Raw genomic sequence first — 17,482 nt, forward strand, 5'->3', positions numbered from 1 at the left:
CATGACTAAAACACCAAAAGCAATGGCAACAAAAGCCAAAATTGACAAATGGGATCTAATTAAACTAAAGAGCTTCTGCACAGCAAAAGAAACTATCATCAGAGTGAACAGGCAACCTACAGAATGGGAGAAAATTTTTGCAATCTATCCTTCTGACAAAGGGCTAATATCCAGAATCTACAAAGAACTTAAACAAATTTACAACAAAAAAAACAAACAACCCCATCAAAAAGTGGATGAAGGATATGAACAGACACTTCTCAAAAGAAGACATTTACGTAGCCAACAGGCACATGAAAAAATGCTCATCATCACTGGTCATCAGAGAAATGCAAATCAAAACCACAATGAGCTACCATCTCACACCAGTTAGAATGGCGATCATTAAGAAGTCAGGAAACAACAGATGCTGGAGAGAATGTGGAGAAATAGCAACACTTTTACACTGTTGGTGGGACTGTAAACTAGTTCAACCATTGTGGAAGACAGTGTGGCGACTCCTCAAGGATCTAGAACTAGAAATATCGTGTGACCCAGCAATCCTGTTACTGGATATATACCCAAAGGATTGTAAATCATGCTGCTATAAAGACACATGCACATGTATGTTTACTGTGGCACTATTCCCAATGGCAAAGATTTGGAACCAACCCAAATGTCCATCAATGATAGACTGGATTAAGAAAATGTGGCTCAAATACTCCATGGAATCCTATGCAGCCATAAAAAAGGATGAGTTCATGTCCTTTGCAGGGACATGGATGAAGCTGGAAACCATCATTCTCAGCAAAATATCACAAGGACAGAAAACCAAACACCGCATGTTCTCACTCATAAGTGGGAGTTGAACAATGAGAACACATGGACTCAGGAAGGGCAACATCACACACTGGGGCCTGTTGCGGGGTGGAGGGTTGGGGGAGGGATAGCATTAGGAGAAATACCTAATGTAAATGACGAGTTAATGGGTGCAGCAAACCAACGTGGCACATGCATACCTATCGGGGGAACCAGCCCCCAATATTTCAGCGTAGGTTTTTTCTATTTTCCCTAAGTGTCGGCCAGTCTGAGAAATAAAGAGGAAGAGTACAAAGAGAGAAATTTTACAACTGGGCCTCTGGGGGTGTCATCACATATTGGTAGGACCATGATGATGACCCCGAGCCGCAAAACCAGCAAGTTTTTATTAGGGATTTTAAAAGGGGACGGGGTGTACGAACAGGGAGTACATCACAAGGATCACATGCTTCAAAGGGCCATAAAGATCACAAGGCAAAGGCAAAATTAGAATTACTGATGAGGTTCTATGTCCCACTGTGCACATATTGTTTTGATAAACATCTTAACAGGAAACAGGGCTCGAGAGCAGAGAACTAGTCTGGCTAGAATTTACCAGGCTGGAATTTCCCAATCCTAGTAAGCCTGAGGGTACTGCAGGAGACCAGGGCGTATTTCAGTCCTTATCTCAACCATATAAGACAGACACTCCCAGAGTGGCTGTCTATAGACCTGCCCCCAGGAATGCATTCCTTCCCCAGGGTTATTCCTTGCTGGGAAAATAATTCAGTGATATTTCTCTTATTCGCACATCTGTCTATAGGCTTTCTGTGAGAAGAAAAATATGGCTCTATTCTGCCCAACCCCGTAGGCAGTCAGACCTTAGGGTTATCTTCCCTTGTTCCCTGAAAATCGCTGTTATTCTGTTCTTTTCAGGGTGCACTGATTTCATATTGTTCAAACGCACATGTTTAACAATCAGATTTCATATTGTTCAAAACATACATGTTCTACAATCAATTTGTACAATAGTGTTCCTGAGGTGACATACATTCTCGGCCAATGAAGATAACAGTATTAAGAGATTAAAGTAAAGACAGGTGGCCGGGCGCGGTGGCTCATGGCTATAATTCCAGCACTTTGGGAGGCCGAGGTGGGCAGATCACGAGGTCAGGAGATCGAGACCATCCTGGCTAACACAGTGAAACCCCGTCTCTACTAAAAAAATACAAAAAATTAGCTGGGCATGGTGGCGGGTGCCTGTAGTCCCAGCTACACAGGAGGCTGAGGCTGGAGAATGGCGTGAACCCAGGAGGTGGAGCTTGCAGTGAGCCAAGATCACGCCACTGCACTCCAGCCTGGGCGACAGAGTGAGACTCCGTCTCAAAAAAAAAAAAAAAAAAAAAAAAAAAAAGACAGGCATAAGAAATTATAAGAGTATTATTAGTATTAGGGAAGTGATAAATGTTCATGAAATCTTCACAATTTATGTTCAGAGACTGCAGTAAAGACGGGTGTAAGAAATCATAAAAGTATTAATTTTGGGAACTGATAAATGTCCATGAAATCTTCACAATTTATGTTTTTGTGACTCAGCTCCAGCCGGTCCCTCCGTTCGGGGTCCCTGACTTCCTGCAACATACACCTATGTAACAAACCTGCATATTGTGCACATGTACCTGAGAACTTAAAGTGTAATAAAAAAAATACTGCTATATTGCCTTCCAAAAGGTTATATCAATTTCTACTTCCACTAAGAGTATGTGAGCCTACTTACTTCTTCACATCCTTGCCAACACTGGATACTATAAAAAGTTTAAATCGGCCAGGCATGGTGGCTCACGCCTGTAATGCCGGCACTTTGGGAGGCCGAGGCAGGTGGATCACATGAGGTCAGGAGCTGGAGACCAGCCTGGCCAACATGGTGAAACCCTGTCTCTACTAATAATACAAAAATTAGCCGGGTGTGATGGCAGGCGCCTGTAATCCCAGCTACTTAGGAGGCTGATGCAGGAGTCACTTGAGCCTGGGAGGCAGAGGTTGCAGTGAGCTGAGATCGTGCCATTGCACTCCAGCCTGGGTGACAAGAGTGAAATTGCGTCTCCAAGTTTAAATCTTTAATAATCATATGAAAAATACATCCATTACATCCATTTTATAGGCTTTTTGTTGTTAAACTTTCATGCCTTTTGCCTGCTTTTCTATTTAATTATAATTTTCTTGTTGATTTGAAGCAGCTGTTTGTATGGTTTTTAAAAATAGCAATTTCTCATAGTATTAAAAATTGTATCCCCCTGCTTTTGTTATCTTTTTAGTTTTTTACGGTACATTTTTCATGAGAAAGTTTATGCAATTTAATGTACTGATGTTTTCCTTTATTCTTACAGGATATTATTTTATGCCTAGAGTCCTTCCCTCATTCTAAGATAATTATTTAAATTCACCAATATTTTCTTCTAGTAATTTAAGGTTCATATTTACATTTAAATCTCTGCCCCAAAGGAAGGTTTTTTGCTCTATGCAAATCTGTACTCTTCAATTTTTTTGTTATGATGAGCATATATTACTATTATAATTTTTTAAAACATGGTCACAAGCTAGTGTAGTACAGATACGTCTTTCTATGAAAATCTTGACAAAAACCAAACCAATAGCAAATGTAATTTGAAAAACACCAATATGGTAAAAGAATGAAAGTAGGCTTCCCATATTTTACTTTGAAATTTGAAAGATCACCATATGTGTGCCTCCCCCTGGTACCTTGAAACTACTCTCTCATGTGTACACACTGTTCAGTACAAGGGGCCTGCCAGCTTGGTACTTACGGCCACCCTCCTCTTTAGTTAGGCTTGAAAAAAAGGAAGAAAAGAAGTCAAGAGAAAGTAACAAAGTAAGATACAAGTAAACCGTTGGAAGTGGAATCAGCATTTACTGCCAGCCAGTAACAACTCTTTCTGAAATGTCTGAGTGCCCGGTAGTACAATGAATTTCTCTACTTCCACCCTAGGAAACGTTTCAAAGCCTCCAGTACTTCCAGTCTCAGTCTATAAACCCGAAGTGTCTCCACTGCACACAAAGTTAAGAGCATAGGCTTTGGAGCCAGACTGCCTGGTTCACCCTGGACTCTGTCACTAGTTGTTAGGGACATTGCTTGAACATCTGTGAGCCTCAATTTTCTCACCTATAAAATGGGGATAATAGTAATACTTACCTTGTATGGATGTCCTGTGGATTAATTACCTGAGTTAATACATGTAAAGCACCTAGATGCCTGAAATATAATAGTGTTCAATCAATATTTACTATTATCTTTACCAGAGAATAGTTAAGTCTACATGAGCCACAAGTGCATTGCAAAAGTCCAGTGGAATAGCAGAAAGGAATTACGGGATGTCCCAGTATTGCTGTTGTTTGACAGCATTGAAAAAATCATGCAAACTCTGTCTTTCTATTTTCCTGAACCTATAACACGTGGATGATTAGTTTCCTATTACAGTTAACAACTAATTGTAAAGTGCAGTTAATATGCAGTTTGAGGGCTTCTATTATTTGTAGTTCTTACTCACTTGACTTAAGACAGGCTATTTTTTCTCCAACTGACTCAGTGCTCTACTCACTACTATTGTGCAATAAAGTTAGAGAAAGTACTGAATCATTTCAAACCTGCTTATTGATACTAAGATCTCACCATGTAATGACACGAAAGATCTTAGTCACACATAAGGTAATGGTAGTGCAGTTGAGAATAAAGGAAAGTGTCTTACTTCGTGAGCTGCACAAATGAGGTTCATCTTGTGATAATAATTCTCACAATAACTCTATGAAGTAAGGATTTTATAAAGTTGTCCTAGGAAGTTCCCCTCCTATAGAAAGGAAAAGAAAACGGGGCCATTTTAGAAGACTACCTATCATATCTATCTGTAGGTATAAGTTTTTTCTGTCACCCCCCCAAAAAACATACAATTGTGCAATTAAGATGCATGAACTTATTGTTTTATTCCTTTTTCGGCTGTGCTTTCCATCTCTGTGTGGTGTGCTCCACTTTGGCTGGATTCTTGTCTCATTTCTTACAGTTCACTATTTTATTCTTTGCTATATTTATTCTGCTATTTGGTTTATCTAGTAGGCCCCTTATTTCAGTGATTATATTTTTTCTTTTCTTTTTTTCTTGTCTTTTTTTTTTTTTTTTTTTTTGAGAAAGATTCTCACTCTGTCGCCCAGGCTGGAGTGCAGTGGCATGATCCCGGATCACTGCAACTTCCATTTCTGGGGTTCTAGCAATTCTCTGGCCTCAGCCTCCTAAGTAGCTGGGATTACAGGTGTGTGCCACCACACCCGACTAATTTTTGTATTTTTAGATGAAACGGGTTTTGCCATGTTGGCCAGGCTGGTCTCAAACTCCTGACCTCAAGTGATCCACCCACCTTGGCCTCCCAAAGTACTGGGATTACAGGTGTGAGCCACCATGTCCGGCCTCTTTTTTTTTTTTTTCCCCTTTGAGATGGAGTCTCTCTCTGTCACCCAGGCTGGAGTGCAGTGGTGCAATCTTGGCTCACTGCAACCCCCACCTCCCGGGTTCAAACGATTATCCTGCCTCAGCCTCCCGAGTAGCTGGGACTACAGGCACGTGCCACCAGGCCCAGCTAATTTTTGTATTTTTAATAGAGATGGGGTTTCACCATATTGGCCAGGCTGGTCTCGAACTCCTGACCTCAGGTGATCCGCCTGCCTCGGCCTCCCAGTGTGCTGGGATTACATGTGTAAGCCACCGTGCCTGGCCCCCTGGCCCATATTTTTTATTTTCAAAATCAATAACTGATTCTTTAAAAACTATCTGCTATTGTGGTTGCAGTATCCTTTTATAGCTCTAAGGTTTTTAATTATAGTCCAACTTAAAATCTTGTTTGCTCTATTGACTGTTTCCTTGGGCATTCATACTTATATTTATTGGGTTTGGTGCCTGTCTTTCACAGTGTTGGTTTTCCTTAAAAGTCTGGTGATTCTTGGCTTGCTGCTGGTCTCTGTGATTGCACAGCCCTGCTTGTGGATGAGCCAGGCCAGACACATCAAAACTAGCAGCCCATCCCTTCTTCCACCCCTCTTCTGGGTTACTACGTTCTGGAGCAATGCTTCTCAATCTTTTTTTCATTATCACCCTCCTAAGGAAACTTTGTAGACATTTTTTTCCTAATCACCACCTCTCCTTCACGAAATGTCAGTACCACAGATGGGCTACATCTCTGTGTACATACTGTGGCCTGTTGGAGCCACAGACTATAGCAATATTTAGGTTTTTTTGTTTTCTTTCCCCAAAATTTCCCACCCAAGACCTAAGTTTTGCCCTGGTGGGAGTAATATCACCTCCAGCTAAAAATCATGCTCTGAAGAACGTCCCTGTTTTTCTGCATTAACTGTCCTACCAGTAAATGTTATTTTTGCCTTCTGCTTCCAAAGCAGTTGACCAAAGAATTCTCCTCTTCCTTTATCCAATGCCTAGAACATAAGCTAAATCCAAAGCTTAGAACATGTGAACATTCTTACAACAACTCCTACCTGTAAAGTCTCTGGTACACTAGGTTTTTTGTTATTTTGTTTTTTAAATTAATAGACTTTATTTTTTAGGGTAGTTTTAGGTTCAAAGCAAAATGGAGCTGAAATTACATAATCCACCCACTCCCACACACAGCCTCCACCACCAACATCCAGCAGCAGTTTGGTACATTTGTTATAATCTGCACTAGGCTTTACATTACATTTTAAACTGAGGTTTGCTCTGTTAATCTGATAATATGCTTTCAATATTTCTGGAATTTAAAAAAAATTTAGATATACTGATAGCACATTTTGTTATTTTCAAGCAATAGTATTAATTTTTCTCTCCTTCATAACTTTTTGCAAACTTAAGGCATTGGAGCAGGTGGGTAGAGAGACCCTTCTGCACAGTCCTCCATTCCAATTTAATCTCCTAGAAAGATAGTTCTACCATGATAACAAAAAGCATGCAGAGAAGAGTGGGCAAGATTTAACTTTATAGACTATTGCTTTAAGTTGTACCGGAAGCCTCCAAGTTATAGCTCAGTGATTCTTCTAAATTCTAAACGGCAAGTAAATTATTCTTAACTAAATATTCCATGTTGTTAATCAATAGTATCTACTAGCCTATACATGATAAAAGTAGGATGGTTCTATTTTTTGAGTTTTTTTAACAGCTTTGAGTTATAATTCACATATCATACAATTCACTCAAAGTGTAAAATCCAATAGTTTTTAGTATGTTCACAGAGTTGTGAAACCATCACCACTATCATTTGAGAACATGTTCATCCTCCAAAAAAGAAACTTAATAACAATTAGTACTCATTCTCCATTTCTCTCCACCCTCCAAAACCCATCCTTTCCCCTCTGCCCCTCCAGCCCTGAACAATCATGTATTTATTTGCCTATTCTGGACATTTAAAAATTCCTCCTATATAGCTGTAATTACATATTCTTTGAACAACATCTCCCAGTCCCGTTGTCCCCTAACTGCTCAAGCTCTGGTAATCACCATTCTATTCTCCTCTTCTATAAGGTCAGCTTTTTTAGATTCCATCTATGAGAGAGTTCATGTGGTCTTTCTGTGCCTGGCTTATTTGCTTAACACAATGACCTCTAGTTCTATCCATATTGCTGCAAATGACAGGATTTTGTTCTCTTTTATTTTTTATATTTATTTGTTTGTTTGTTTATTTATTTATTTTTGTGACAGGGTTTCACTCTGTCACCCAGGCTGGAGTGCAGTGGCATGATCTTGGCTCACTGCAGCCTCAAACTCCCGAGCTCAAGTCATTCTCCTGCTTCAGCCTCCCAAGCAGCTGAGACTACAGGCACATGCCACCACACTCAGCTAATTTTTTGTAGAGATGGGGTTTTGCTATGTTTCCCAGGCTGGTCAAGTGATCTGCCTGACTGCCTTGGCCTCCAAAAGTGTTGGGATTATAGGCATGAGCCACTGCACCTGGCCATGTTCTCTTTTATGGCTTAATAGTACTCCATTGTATATATAAACCACCTTTTATTTATCCATTCATCCATTGATGGACACTTAGGTTGATTCCATATCTTGGCTATTATTATTATATACATTAATATATTATTATTCCATATCTTGGGTAATATATATATTCCATATATTGGCTATATGTGCAATAAACAATGGAGTGCAGCTATCTCTTCAGCATATTGATTTCATTTCCTTTGGATATACACCCAGTAGTGGGATTGCTGTATCTTTTGTGAGTTCTTTCTTTAATGTATTGTATTTATGATTTTTGGAGTTTGTGATACATTTAATTTATATAGTGTGTTAAAATCATTTATTAGTACCATATATTTAAGCAAGTTCATAGAAAAAAGAACACAATGACCATTCAATTATATTTCTATTGTTCTCTATTCACGTCTAATCTGTCATTATATATATATACCTGTTGCACAATTCTAGTACTTTATGCATACTATTTTTGTGTTGTTTTGTTAGTGTGTCCATTTACTTATAAGTTTACAAAGTTGCCATTTTTACTAGCCATATAATTATTAAACAATATGGAATCACCATGTTCACTAACTTCTTATTAGTATTTAGAATGCTTCCATATTTTTATATTATTTCAGAGTATGAATACTATCAAGAAGTGTTCAAAAAAACTTAAACCAATTTATAATGTACCTTCAGCCCTGCCAAACACTGTTCAAAATTTTTAATTCTTTTGGAGATTTTTAATTTAGCATTTTTTACATTGTTACTGCATTTTCCCATCTCACATCTGACTTCCTATCTGTATTGTCACATATATAAAAGTGTTTGTGGTAGAGTATATTCTTCCAATCTGTCTGCAGCAACCAAACAACCCACATGCTCTTCTTTGACACTCCTCTCATTCAGAAGTGAGATCTATGTTCTCCTTGATTCTGTCTGGTCTTGTGACTGACAGAACTGACACTGTGTGACCTCCAACTCTAGGTTATAAAATGCAAAACAACTTCTGCTTGGGTTCTTTTAATACCCTTGCTCTTGGAACTGGTCTACCATTCTGTAAGGAAGCCCAAGAAGCCAATGAGGAAGCCTAAGTGGAGCATAACCAAGGGCCCCAGCTTTCAGCCTAGGCTGTGCTGGGTAAGCAGCCAGCAGCAACTTGCTAGCCACATGGGTGAGTCATCTTGAAGGGATATCCTTCAGTGCCCAAACCAGCCACCCCCGATGATGCTGTGGGATAAGGCATCCTTGCTGAGCCTTGCCCAAATTAAAGATTGATGGGCAAGATAAATAAATAATTGTCTTTGTTGTAAACCACAGAATTTGGGGCTGGTTTGTTACTGAGTGACATGGTTCAGATGTGTCCTCACCCAAATCTCATCTTGAATTGTAGTTCCCATAATCCCTGTGTTGTGGGAGGGACCTGGTGGGAGGTAATTGAATCATGGGGGTGGTTACCTCCATGTTGCTCTTGTGATAGTGAGTTCTCACATGATCTGATGGTTTTATAAAGGGCTATTCTCCTTTTGCTTGGCATTTCTCCTTCCTGAACCATGTGAAGAAGGATGTGTTTGTTTCCCCTTCCACCATGATTGTAAGTTTCCTGAGCCCTCCCCATCCCTGTGGAACTGTGAGTCAATTAAATCTCTTTTCTTCACAAATTACCAGTCTCAGATATGTCTTTTTTTTATTTTTTATTTTTCTGAGATGGAGTCTTGCTCTGTTGCCCAGGCTGGAGTGCAGTGGTGTGATCTCAGCTCACTGCAACCTCCACCTCCCAGGTTCAAGTGATTCTCCTGCCTCAGCCTCCCAAGAGCTGGCATTTTAGGCATGCACCACCATGCATGGCTAATTTTTGTATTTTTAGTAGAGATGAGGTTTTGCTATGTTGGCCAGGATGGTCTTGAACTCCTGACCTCAGGTGATCCACCCATCTCAGCCTCCAAATTGTCGGGACTACAGGTGTGACTCACCATGCCCAGCCTCAGGTATGTCTTAATTAGCAGTGTGAAAACAGATTAATACAGTAAATTGGTACCATAAAGAGCAGAGTGCTGCTGTAAAGATATCAAAAAATGTGGAAGCAACTTTGGAACTGGGTAACAGGCAGAAGCTGTAACAGTTTGGGGGGCTCAGAAGAAGACAGGAAAATGTGGGAAAGTTTGGAACTTCCTAGAGACTTGGAGGACTCAGAAGACAGGATGATGTGATAAGTTTGGAACTTCCTAGAGACTTGTTGGTTTTGACCAACACACTGATAGAGATATGGACAATTAAGTCCAGGCTGAGGTGGTCTCAGATGGAGATGAGGAACTTCCCAGGAATTAGAACAAAGGTGACTCTTGGTATGCTTTAGCAAAGAGACTGGCATTTTGCCCCTGCCCTAGAGATCTGTGGAACTTTGAACTTGAGAGAGATTATTTAGAGTATCTGGTGGAAGAAATTTCTAAGCAGTAAAGCATTTAAGAAGTGAATTTGCAGCCTGACAATGCAGAAGAAAAATACATTTTCTGGGGAGAAATTCAAGCCAGTTGCAGAAATTTGCATAAGTAACAAGGAGCCAAATGCAAATCATGAAGACAATGGGAAAAATGCCTCCAGGGCGTGTCAGAGACCTTCATGGCAGCCCCTCCCATCACAGCCTCAGAGGCCTAGGAGGGAAAAATGGTTTCCTGGGCCCATCCAGGGCCTCCCTGCTGTGTGCAGCCTCAGGACTTGGTGCCCTGCATCCCAGCCACTCCAGCTGGGGCTAAAAGGGACCAAGGTACAGCTCAGGGTGTTGCTTCAGAGGTTGCAAGTCCCAAGCCTTGGCAGCTTCCAGGTGGTGTTGAGCCTGCAGGGGCACAGAAGTCAAGAATTGAGGTTTGAGAACCTCTGCCTAGATTTCAGAGGATGTACGGAAATGCCTGGATATCCAGGCAGAACTTTGCTGCAGGGACAGAGCCCTCATGGGGAACTTCTGCTAGGGCAGTGCAGAAGGGAAATGTGGGGTCAGAGCCCCCACATAGAGTCCCGACTGGGGCACTGGCCAGTGGAGCTGTGAGAAGAGGGCCACTGTCCTCTAGACCCAAGAATGGTAGATCCACCGACAGCTTGCACCATGCACCTGGAAAAGCTGCAGACATTCAATGCCAGCCTGTGAAAGCAGCCAGGTCGGGGGCCGTACCCTGCAAAGCCACAGGGGAGAAGTTGCTCAAGGCCATGGGAGCCCACCTCTTGCATCAGTGTGACCTGGATGTGAGACATGGAGTCAAAGAAGATCATTTTGGAACTTTAAGGTTTAATGACTGGTTAAGTTTTAATGACACTTTTATACATGAGACAATACAAATAGGAACTCAGCTGTGAAGCGGGAAAAATGCAGTCACAATGTAAAAAAAATGCTAACTTAAAAATCTCAAAAAGAATTAAAAATTTTGAACACAGCATTTGGCAGGGCTAAAGGAACATTATAAGGTTTAAATCCTATTGGATTTTGGACTTGCATGGGGTCTGTTGGGCCCTTTGTTTTGGTGAATTTCTCCCATTTGGAGTGGGTGTATTTGCCCAATGCCTGTACCCCCGTTGTATCTAGAAAATAAATAACTTGCTTTTGATTTTCCAGGCTGATAGGAAGAAGGGACTTGCCTTGTCTCAGATGAGACCTTGGACATGTACCTTTGCGTCAATGCTGGAATAAGTTGAGAGTTTGGGGGACTGTTGGAAAGGTATGATTATGTTTTGAAATGTTTGGAAATGAGATTTGGGCAGGGATGGAATTATATGGTTTGGCTGTGTCCCCACCCAAATCTCACCTTGAATTGTGGTTCCCATAATCCTCATGTGTCATAGGAGGGACCCAGTGGGAGGTAATTGAATCATGGGGGCAGTTACCTCCATGCTGTTCTTGTGATAGCGAGTGAGTTCTCATGAGATCTGGTGGTTTTATGAGAGGCTTTTCCCCTTTTGCTTGACACTTCTCTTTCCTGCCACCATGTGAAGAAGGATGTGTTTGCTTCCCCTTCTGCCATGATTGTAAGTTTCCTGAGGCCTCCTCAGCCATACTGAGCTGTGAGTCAATTAAACCACTTTCCATTATAAATTACCTAGTCTCAGGTGTGTCTTTATTAGCAGTGTGAGAACAGATTAGTACACTCAGCAATAGATAACTGATACAGCATATATATGTGTTTTAACCACCTATTGAGTGCAATTTGGGATGTTGACATATATTTGTTTAATTATTTGAAATAGCCACTTTTTTTTTTTTAAGATGGAATCTCACTCTGTTGCCCAGGCTGGAGTGCAGTGGCATGATCTTGGCTCACTGCAACCTCTGCCTCCCGGGTTCAAGCAACTCTTTTGCCTCAGCCTCCCAAGTAGCTGGGACTACAGGCAAGCGCCATCATGCTCAGCTAATTTTTGTATCTTTGGTAGAGACAGGGTTTCACCATATTGGCCAGGCTGGTCTCGAACTTGTGACGTCATGATCCACCCACCTCAGCCTCCCAAAGTGCTGGGATTACAGGCATGAGCCATAGCACCTGGCCCAATAGCCACTTAAAAAAAAAATCAGAGAGGAATAAAGAAGCAAGAGGCAGTCTAGCATAATGCATTAGAGCACTGGAATTACAGTGCCTGGAATTAGAGTCTAGAATTTGACTGCCTGGGGTCTAATCCTGGCTCTGCCAATTACTAGCAAATTAACAGCAGATACTTTGTCATCTCCTAAATGGGGATGATAATGGTAACCACCTAATTAGAAGTACTGTAAAGATTAAATTAGTTAGTATATATAAAGAATTTAGTCCAATGTCCAACCTATAATAAATACCAAATAAATCCCATTTAAGAGTTAACCATTCCTAGCAGTTACATATTTTCATATAAATTCTGTATTTTGTTGCTTTCTCTTTTTAAAATTGCATTAAGACATATACGGTTTCTTTATTTTTATACTTTGTATCAGTTAAGATTCTGTGTAGTACAATATTAGGAAACCAAATAAAGACTGATTTAAAGAAGAAGGAATTGTCTTAACTCAGTTAATAAGAGGTCTGAACAGGGCAAAATCTGCAGTTGCTCAATATATCCTTTCAGTAATGCCATCATACACCAAGTTCTATCCAGCTCTTAGATTTGCAAATATTGGTAGCAAAGTGGCTAAGTAATCCCAAGCATCATATCCAGATATGGCAAAGTCTAGAGGAAGAAGGGACTATCTCCTCCTTGTAGGTACCCAATACAGAAACAAATACGTGGCAATATAATTGGACTGGAATGAGTGTTTGAACATCCACCACAATGCCCACTGAACACTTTCAAGCATATACATCTTGTTTCTGGTAATATGCCCCATTTTATCGATAGTTCTGATTCCGGCTGGGCGTGGTGGTTTGCACCTTTAAGCCTATCGCTTTAGGAGGCCAAGGTGGGTGGATAGATTGAGCCCAGGAGCTCAAGACCAGCCTGGGCAACATGGCAAAACCCCGTCGCTACAAAGAAAATTACAAAAAATTAGCTGGGCATGGTGGCATGTGCCTGTAGTCCCAGCTACTCATGAGGCTGAGCGGGGAGGATCACCTGAGGCTGGGAGGTCATGGCTTCAGTGAGCTGTGATAGCACCACAGCACTCCAGCCTGGGCAACAGAGTGAGACCCTGTCTCAAAAAAAAAAAAAGAAAGAAATTCATCTTCTACAAACCAATTTGTTCTTCAATACAGAGTATCATCAACATCCAATTATAATTAATAACAAAGATGACCAGTTGGATATAAGATACTGCTTCAAGCTTTTGCAAAAGTCAATAATACCACTAAGGTTATTTAATCATCCAGTTTTTTATTCACTTGTGCCTTGTAGGTGTTACAAGTAATTTTATATGGAACTCCCCAAATAGTGAAAAATGTAGATTGTCTCTGAAAAACTGCAGGCTTTAAAATTGCTAATATTTTCTATTCTTTTTAAATAAAGATCTCCTTTATTTGAACTCATAGCATTTATAATCTATACTATATGACTATCTTCTGTTTTGTAGAGTTTCTATTTATGTCACTTGTGTATGAGTCTTTTCTTCCAACCATATTTGTCTTTTACTTCAAGGCAGAGGTTGTGTTTCACACTTCCTTTGTTTTGTTGCTGCAACTTGGACAGAGCTCAGCACAGAGCAGGTGCTCAAAATAAGCACTTATTAGTTAGTGTTCTCCAAGTCGTCCAGTGATGACTCCTAGTATATATATCGAGTGTTACTATGTATGTGAGAGAGAACAGAGTGCATGCCTATAGTAGGCTGAATGATGATCCCAAAGATATAAGGTTCTAATCCCCAGAAACTATAAACATTACCTTACATAGAAGAAGGGTCTTTGCAGATGTGATTAAGAATCTTGACATGGGGAGATTATCCAGGATTATCCAGTGAGCTGTAAATGTCATTATAAATGTCCTTATAAGAGAGAAGGAGAGGGAGATCTCTCTCTCTCTCTCTTTCTCTCTCTCTCTCTCACACACACACACACACACACACAGACACAGAGAGAGAGAGAGAGAGAGATTGAGAGAGAGAGGATGATGTGAAGGAGCAGAGAAAAATTTGAAGATGGAGTGAATGAAGTGATAAAGCCACAAACCAAAGAATGTCAGAAACTGGAAAAGGCAGAGAACAGATTCTCACCTGGAGCATCTGGAGGGAGGACAGCTCTGCCAGTACCTTGATTTCTGCCTGGTGACACTGATTTAGGACTTCTTGCCTCCAGAACTGTGAGAGAATAAATTTCAGTTGTTTTAAGCCACAAAATTTGTGATAATTTGTTAGAGCAGCCATAGGAATCCTAACACAATGCCAATCAACAATATATTTTATTATTGGGAGGTTTAAGAATCATGCATCTGGGGTCTTCTGGATCCCTATCTGTCTTCCAATTCCGACCTAATGGCACCATTACAAGTCAATTCCACTGTAGACTGTATAAAGGAAGCCACTCTGCAACACCTTTCAACACATGTTATCAGTCATATTGAGTAATTTCTCAAGGAGGCCCAATAATATCTAGACCAGCAGGCATTTCCACCCACTGCTCTACTAATGCCATATAGGTTGGTTTCTTCCTCTCAAATTCTCTGATCTCTCAGCTGACTATAGGCTTTAGCGGTGCCCTGTGTGATGACAGCAGGGTTTTGGATATAGTAAGTAGGAGCCACTTTTGGTATCTAATAGGAAACAAAAGGATCTATGGAATTGACCCATTGGTAAAGTGAGATTGCCTTCAAACCCACAAGAAAACTCCACTAGCTTCCTAAATAAAATTTGCTTTCATTTTCAAATTAAGAAGAATATAGAAATGCCCTAGTTTCAATAAAACCTGAGTTGAACACAACTTCCTGCCTACAAAATGCCAATCGAATGAAAGCTGAAGGTGGAATTGGCTATACAGGGACGGCATGCCATTCCTCTGCTCACACTGGACAGAGCATCTTTGTGTCTAGGTCACTCTAGAACCAGCTGGGGGCCTAGGGGCACTGGAGATAGATGCAAGGGCTTTACCGTTGTTCAACCACTTTTTAAAAATGGTTTGTTTTGGTTTGTTTTGTTTTGAAAACCAGGAAAGCAGTCTGCCTTTCCAAGGTCATTAGCTCCATCACAGGCCTCTTCTTTTCACAACCATATTGTTTTGTTTTCTCTAACCTGGAAGACGACTCAACCACAAATGTAATGTTTATCTTTCAAAATAGCAGCTGAAAAAAAAGTACAGGATGTGTGAGACTAAAAACACTCTTTCGGCTTCCTCTACTTTTTTTGTGACTTTCCTCGGGTTCCTCCCTGAGGAAGAGTCTGCTATATATAAGTAATATTCTTCATTTGGCTTAGTGGTGCTCTAAATGAGAGCAGCGTAACCTCAGGAACACAAGCTTGTCTGCTCTGTATCTGTTGGCAGGCACGGGGTGAACTGCAGTTTAGCAATGATTTCTCACCACCTTGTCTTCCTCATTATTTAATGACTCCAAGTGTATGCATCTTGACTTCTCTCCACAGTTGTTTGAAAATACCATTTGACCATGGACACCAGAGCTTCTGAAATACTGGCTTTCCCTTGGGTACTCAATAAGAAAAACTTCTTAGAAATCTGTCTTCAACCAACTGAGCTGTTTATTTTCTTCTTGGGTGCATTCCATTAGACAACAGGATTTATTAGTTCAAATTCCTGTTTCACAGAACGACTTGTTCTTAATGACATGTGTCCTTTCTTCTACTTCCCATACCCCACGCCCTCTCTGCCCAATTTCTCTCTTCCTTTATGTCTGTATCTTTGCACAGTCTTCTGCAGCCACCCACTTACTCGCCATTAACAAGGAACCTTTTTCATCTCCATGATGATGAACGTGATTTTTATAAAGTGAATAGGTAATGTGGCAAAGGTTTTTAAACAGTGAATTGAATTGCTTTTGATTAAATACCATTAAGACTCCAAGTTTGCAGTATGTATGTGTTTGTTTCTGTTATACACAGTCCAATTCTTCATAAAACTAACGCTGGGGGCCCGGCATGGTGGCTCACGCCTGTAATCCCAGCACTTTGGGAGGCAGAGGTGGGCGGATCACCTGAGGTCAGGAGTCTGAGCCTGGCCAACATAGTGAAACCCCGTCTCTGCTAAAAATATAGAAATTAGCCAGGCGTGGTGTTAAGTGCCTGTGATCCCAGCTACTCAGGAGGCTGAGGCAGGAGAACCACTTGAACCCGGGAGGCGGAGGTTGCAGTGAGCCGAGATTGCGTCACCATACTCCAGCCTGGGCAATAGAGTAAGGCTCCATCAGCCTCAAAACAAAAAACAACAAAACTAGCGCTGGTATCTCAGAATGATAGTTGTGCAATTTCTTAGTAATGACTATAACGCAATGTTTTACTATGCCTCCAAGAGTATCCTTTTTCCTTGCAAAACGTAGTTTCACTTTCAGAAAGAGACGAATATCAAAGTTTAAAAATGGATCAAGCCAAAAAAAAGGAAAAACTAGTTAAGATATACATGAAACAGCAGGCTCCCTCAATAGTATGACCCATAGTACTAAAGACAAAGGCATTAAAAGAGTCAAGTGGGACAAATACTAACAGTGCATAGCTACACTGAGGTATTATTCCCCTCATTTAGTGACTCACTGGACTTTAACTGAGACTAGACTACTTGAAGAAGTTTCTGACTGTATGGGTATTTCTTGAAACACTAGCGATTTTTGTTTCTTTTCTGTTGAGTAGAGGTTTATTTGCAGTTCCATGTAATTTTATTCTCTTAGGGAATGTCTTATTGTGTTCATTCCTCTAATCCTTCTATGCCTAAAAAATGGCCCCCTGAGCGTTTAGAAAGGGAAGGGAGGTACTGACTATTTTCTATTCCTTAGCTATTTTCACTGGTGAAACCAAAAGCAGACTACTTCCTTAGTATATCTTTTAGCATCTGATCAGATTCTCTTTTATAATTTTTTTTCCCCTCTGTGTGTGGTCTCTTAAAGCAAATGGCAGTTAAACATGCTATTTCTGCTTTAGGTCATGCACTTTCTCTAAGATGGAATTTACAGGGCTTTTATGCTGTGCAATCAACCAAACCCAAGTATCCCAAGGAGAAACTTCCATGTTTCTCTCTACATATAAATATACTATATTTATATAATATACTATATTATGTATAATATAGTATACTTAACATGCTGAATTTCCCTTGG

At 40.6% G+C, this 17,482-nt stretch overlaps 1 long non-coding RNA gene across 4 annotated transcripts in view; it reads right to left on the reverse strand.

The window, feature by feature from the left end:
- Nucleotides 1-16,355, reverse strand: part of LOC105370198 (uncharacterized) — a 114,265-nt gene extending 97,910 nt beyond the window's left edge. For 3 of the 4 annotated variants that reach the window (XR_007063792.1, XR_007063791.1, XR_007063789.1), the window contains exon 1: nucleotides 14,445-16,355. This is a non-coding gene — a long non-coding RNA (uncharacterized LOC105370198). Of the gene's footprint in view, nucleotides 1-2,880; nucleotides 4,641-14,116; nucleotides 14,194-14,444 lie in introns of those variants that run through there. The other variant, XR_007063793.1, reaches the window with a different exon arrangement.
- Nucleotides 16,356-17,482: the final 1,127 nt, after the last annotated feature.

Source organism: Homo sapiens, chromosome 13, assembly GCF_000001405.40.
Source record: "Homo sapiens chromosome 13, GRCh38.p14 Primary Assembly".
Lineage (NCBI taxonomy): Eukaryota > Metazoa > Chordata > Mammalia > Primates > Hominidae > Homo > Homo sapiens.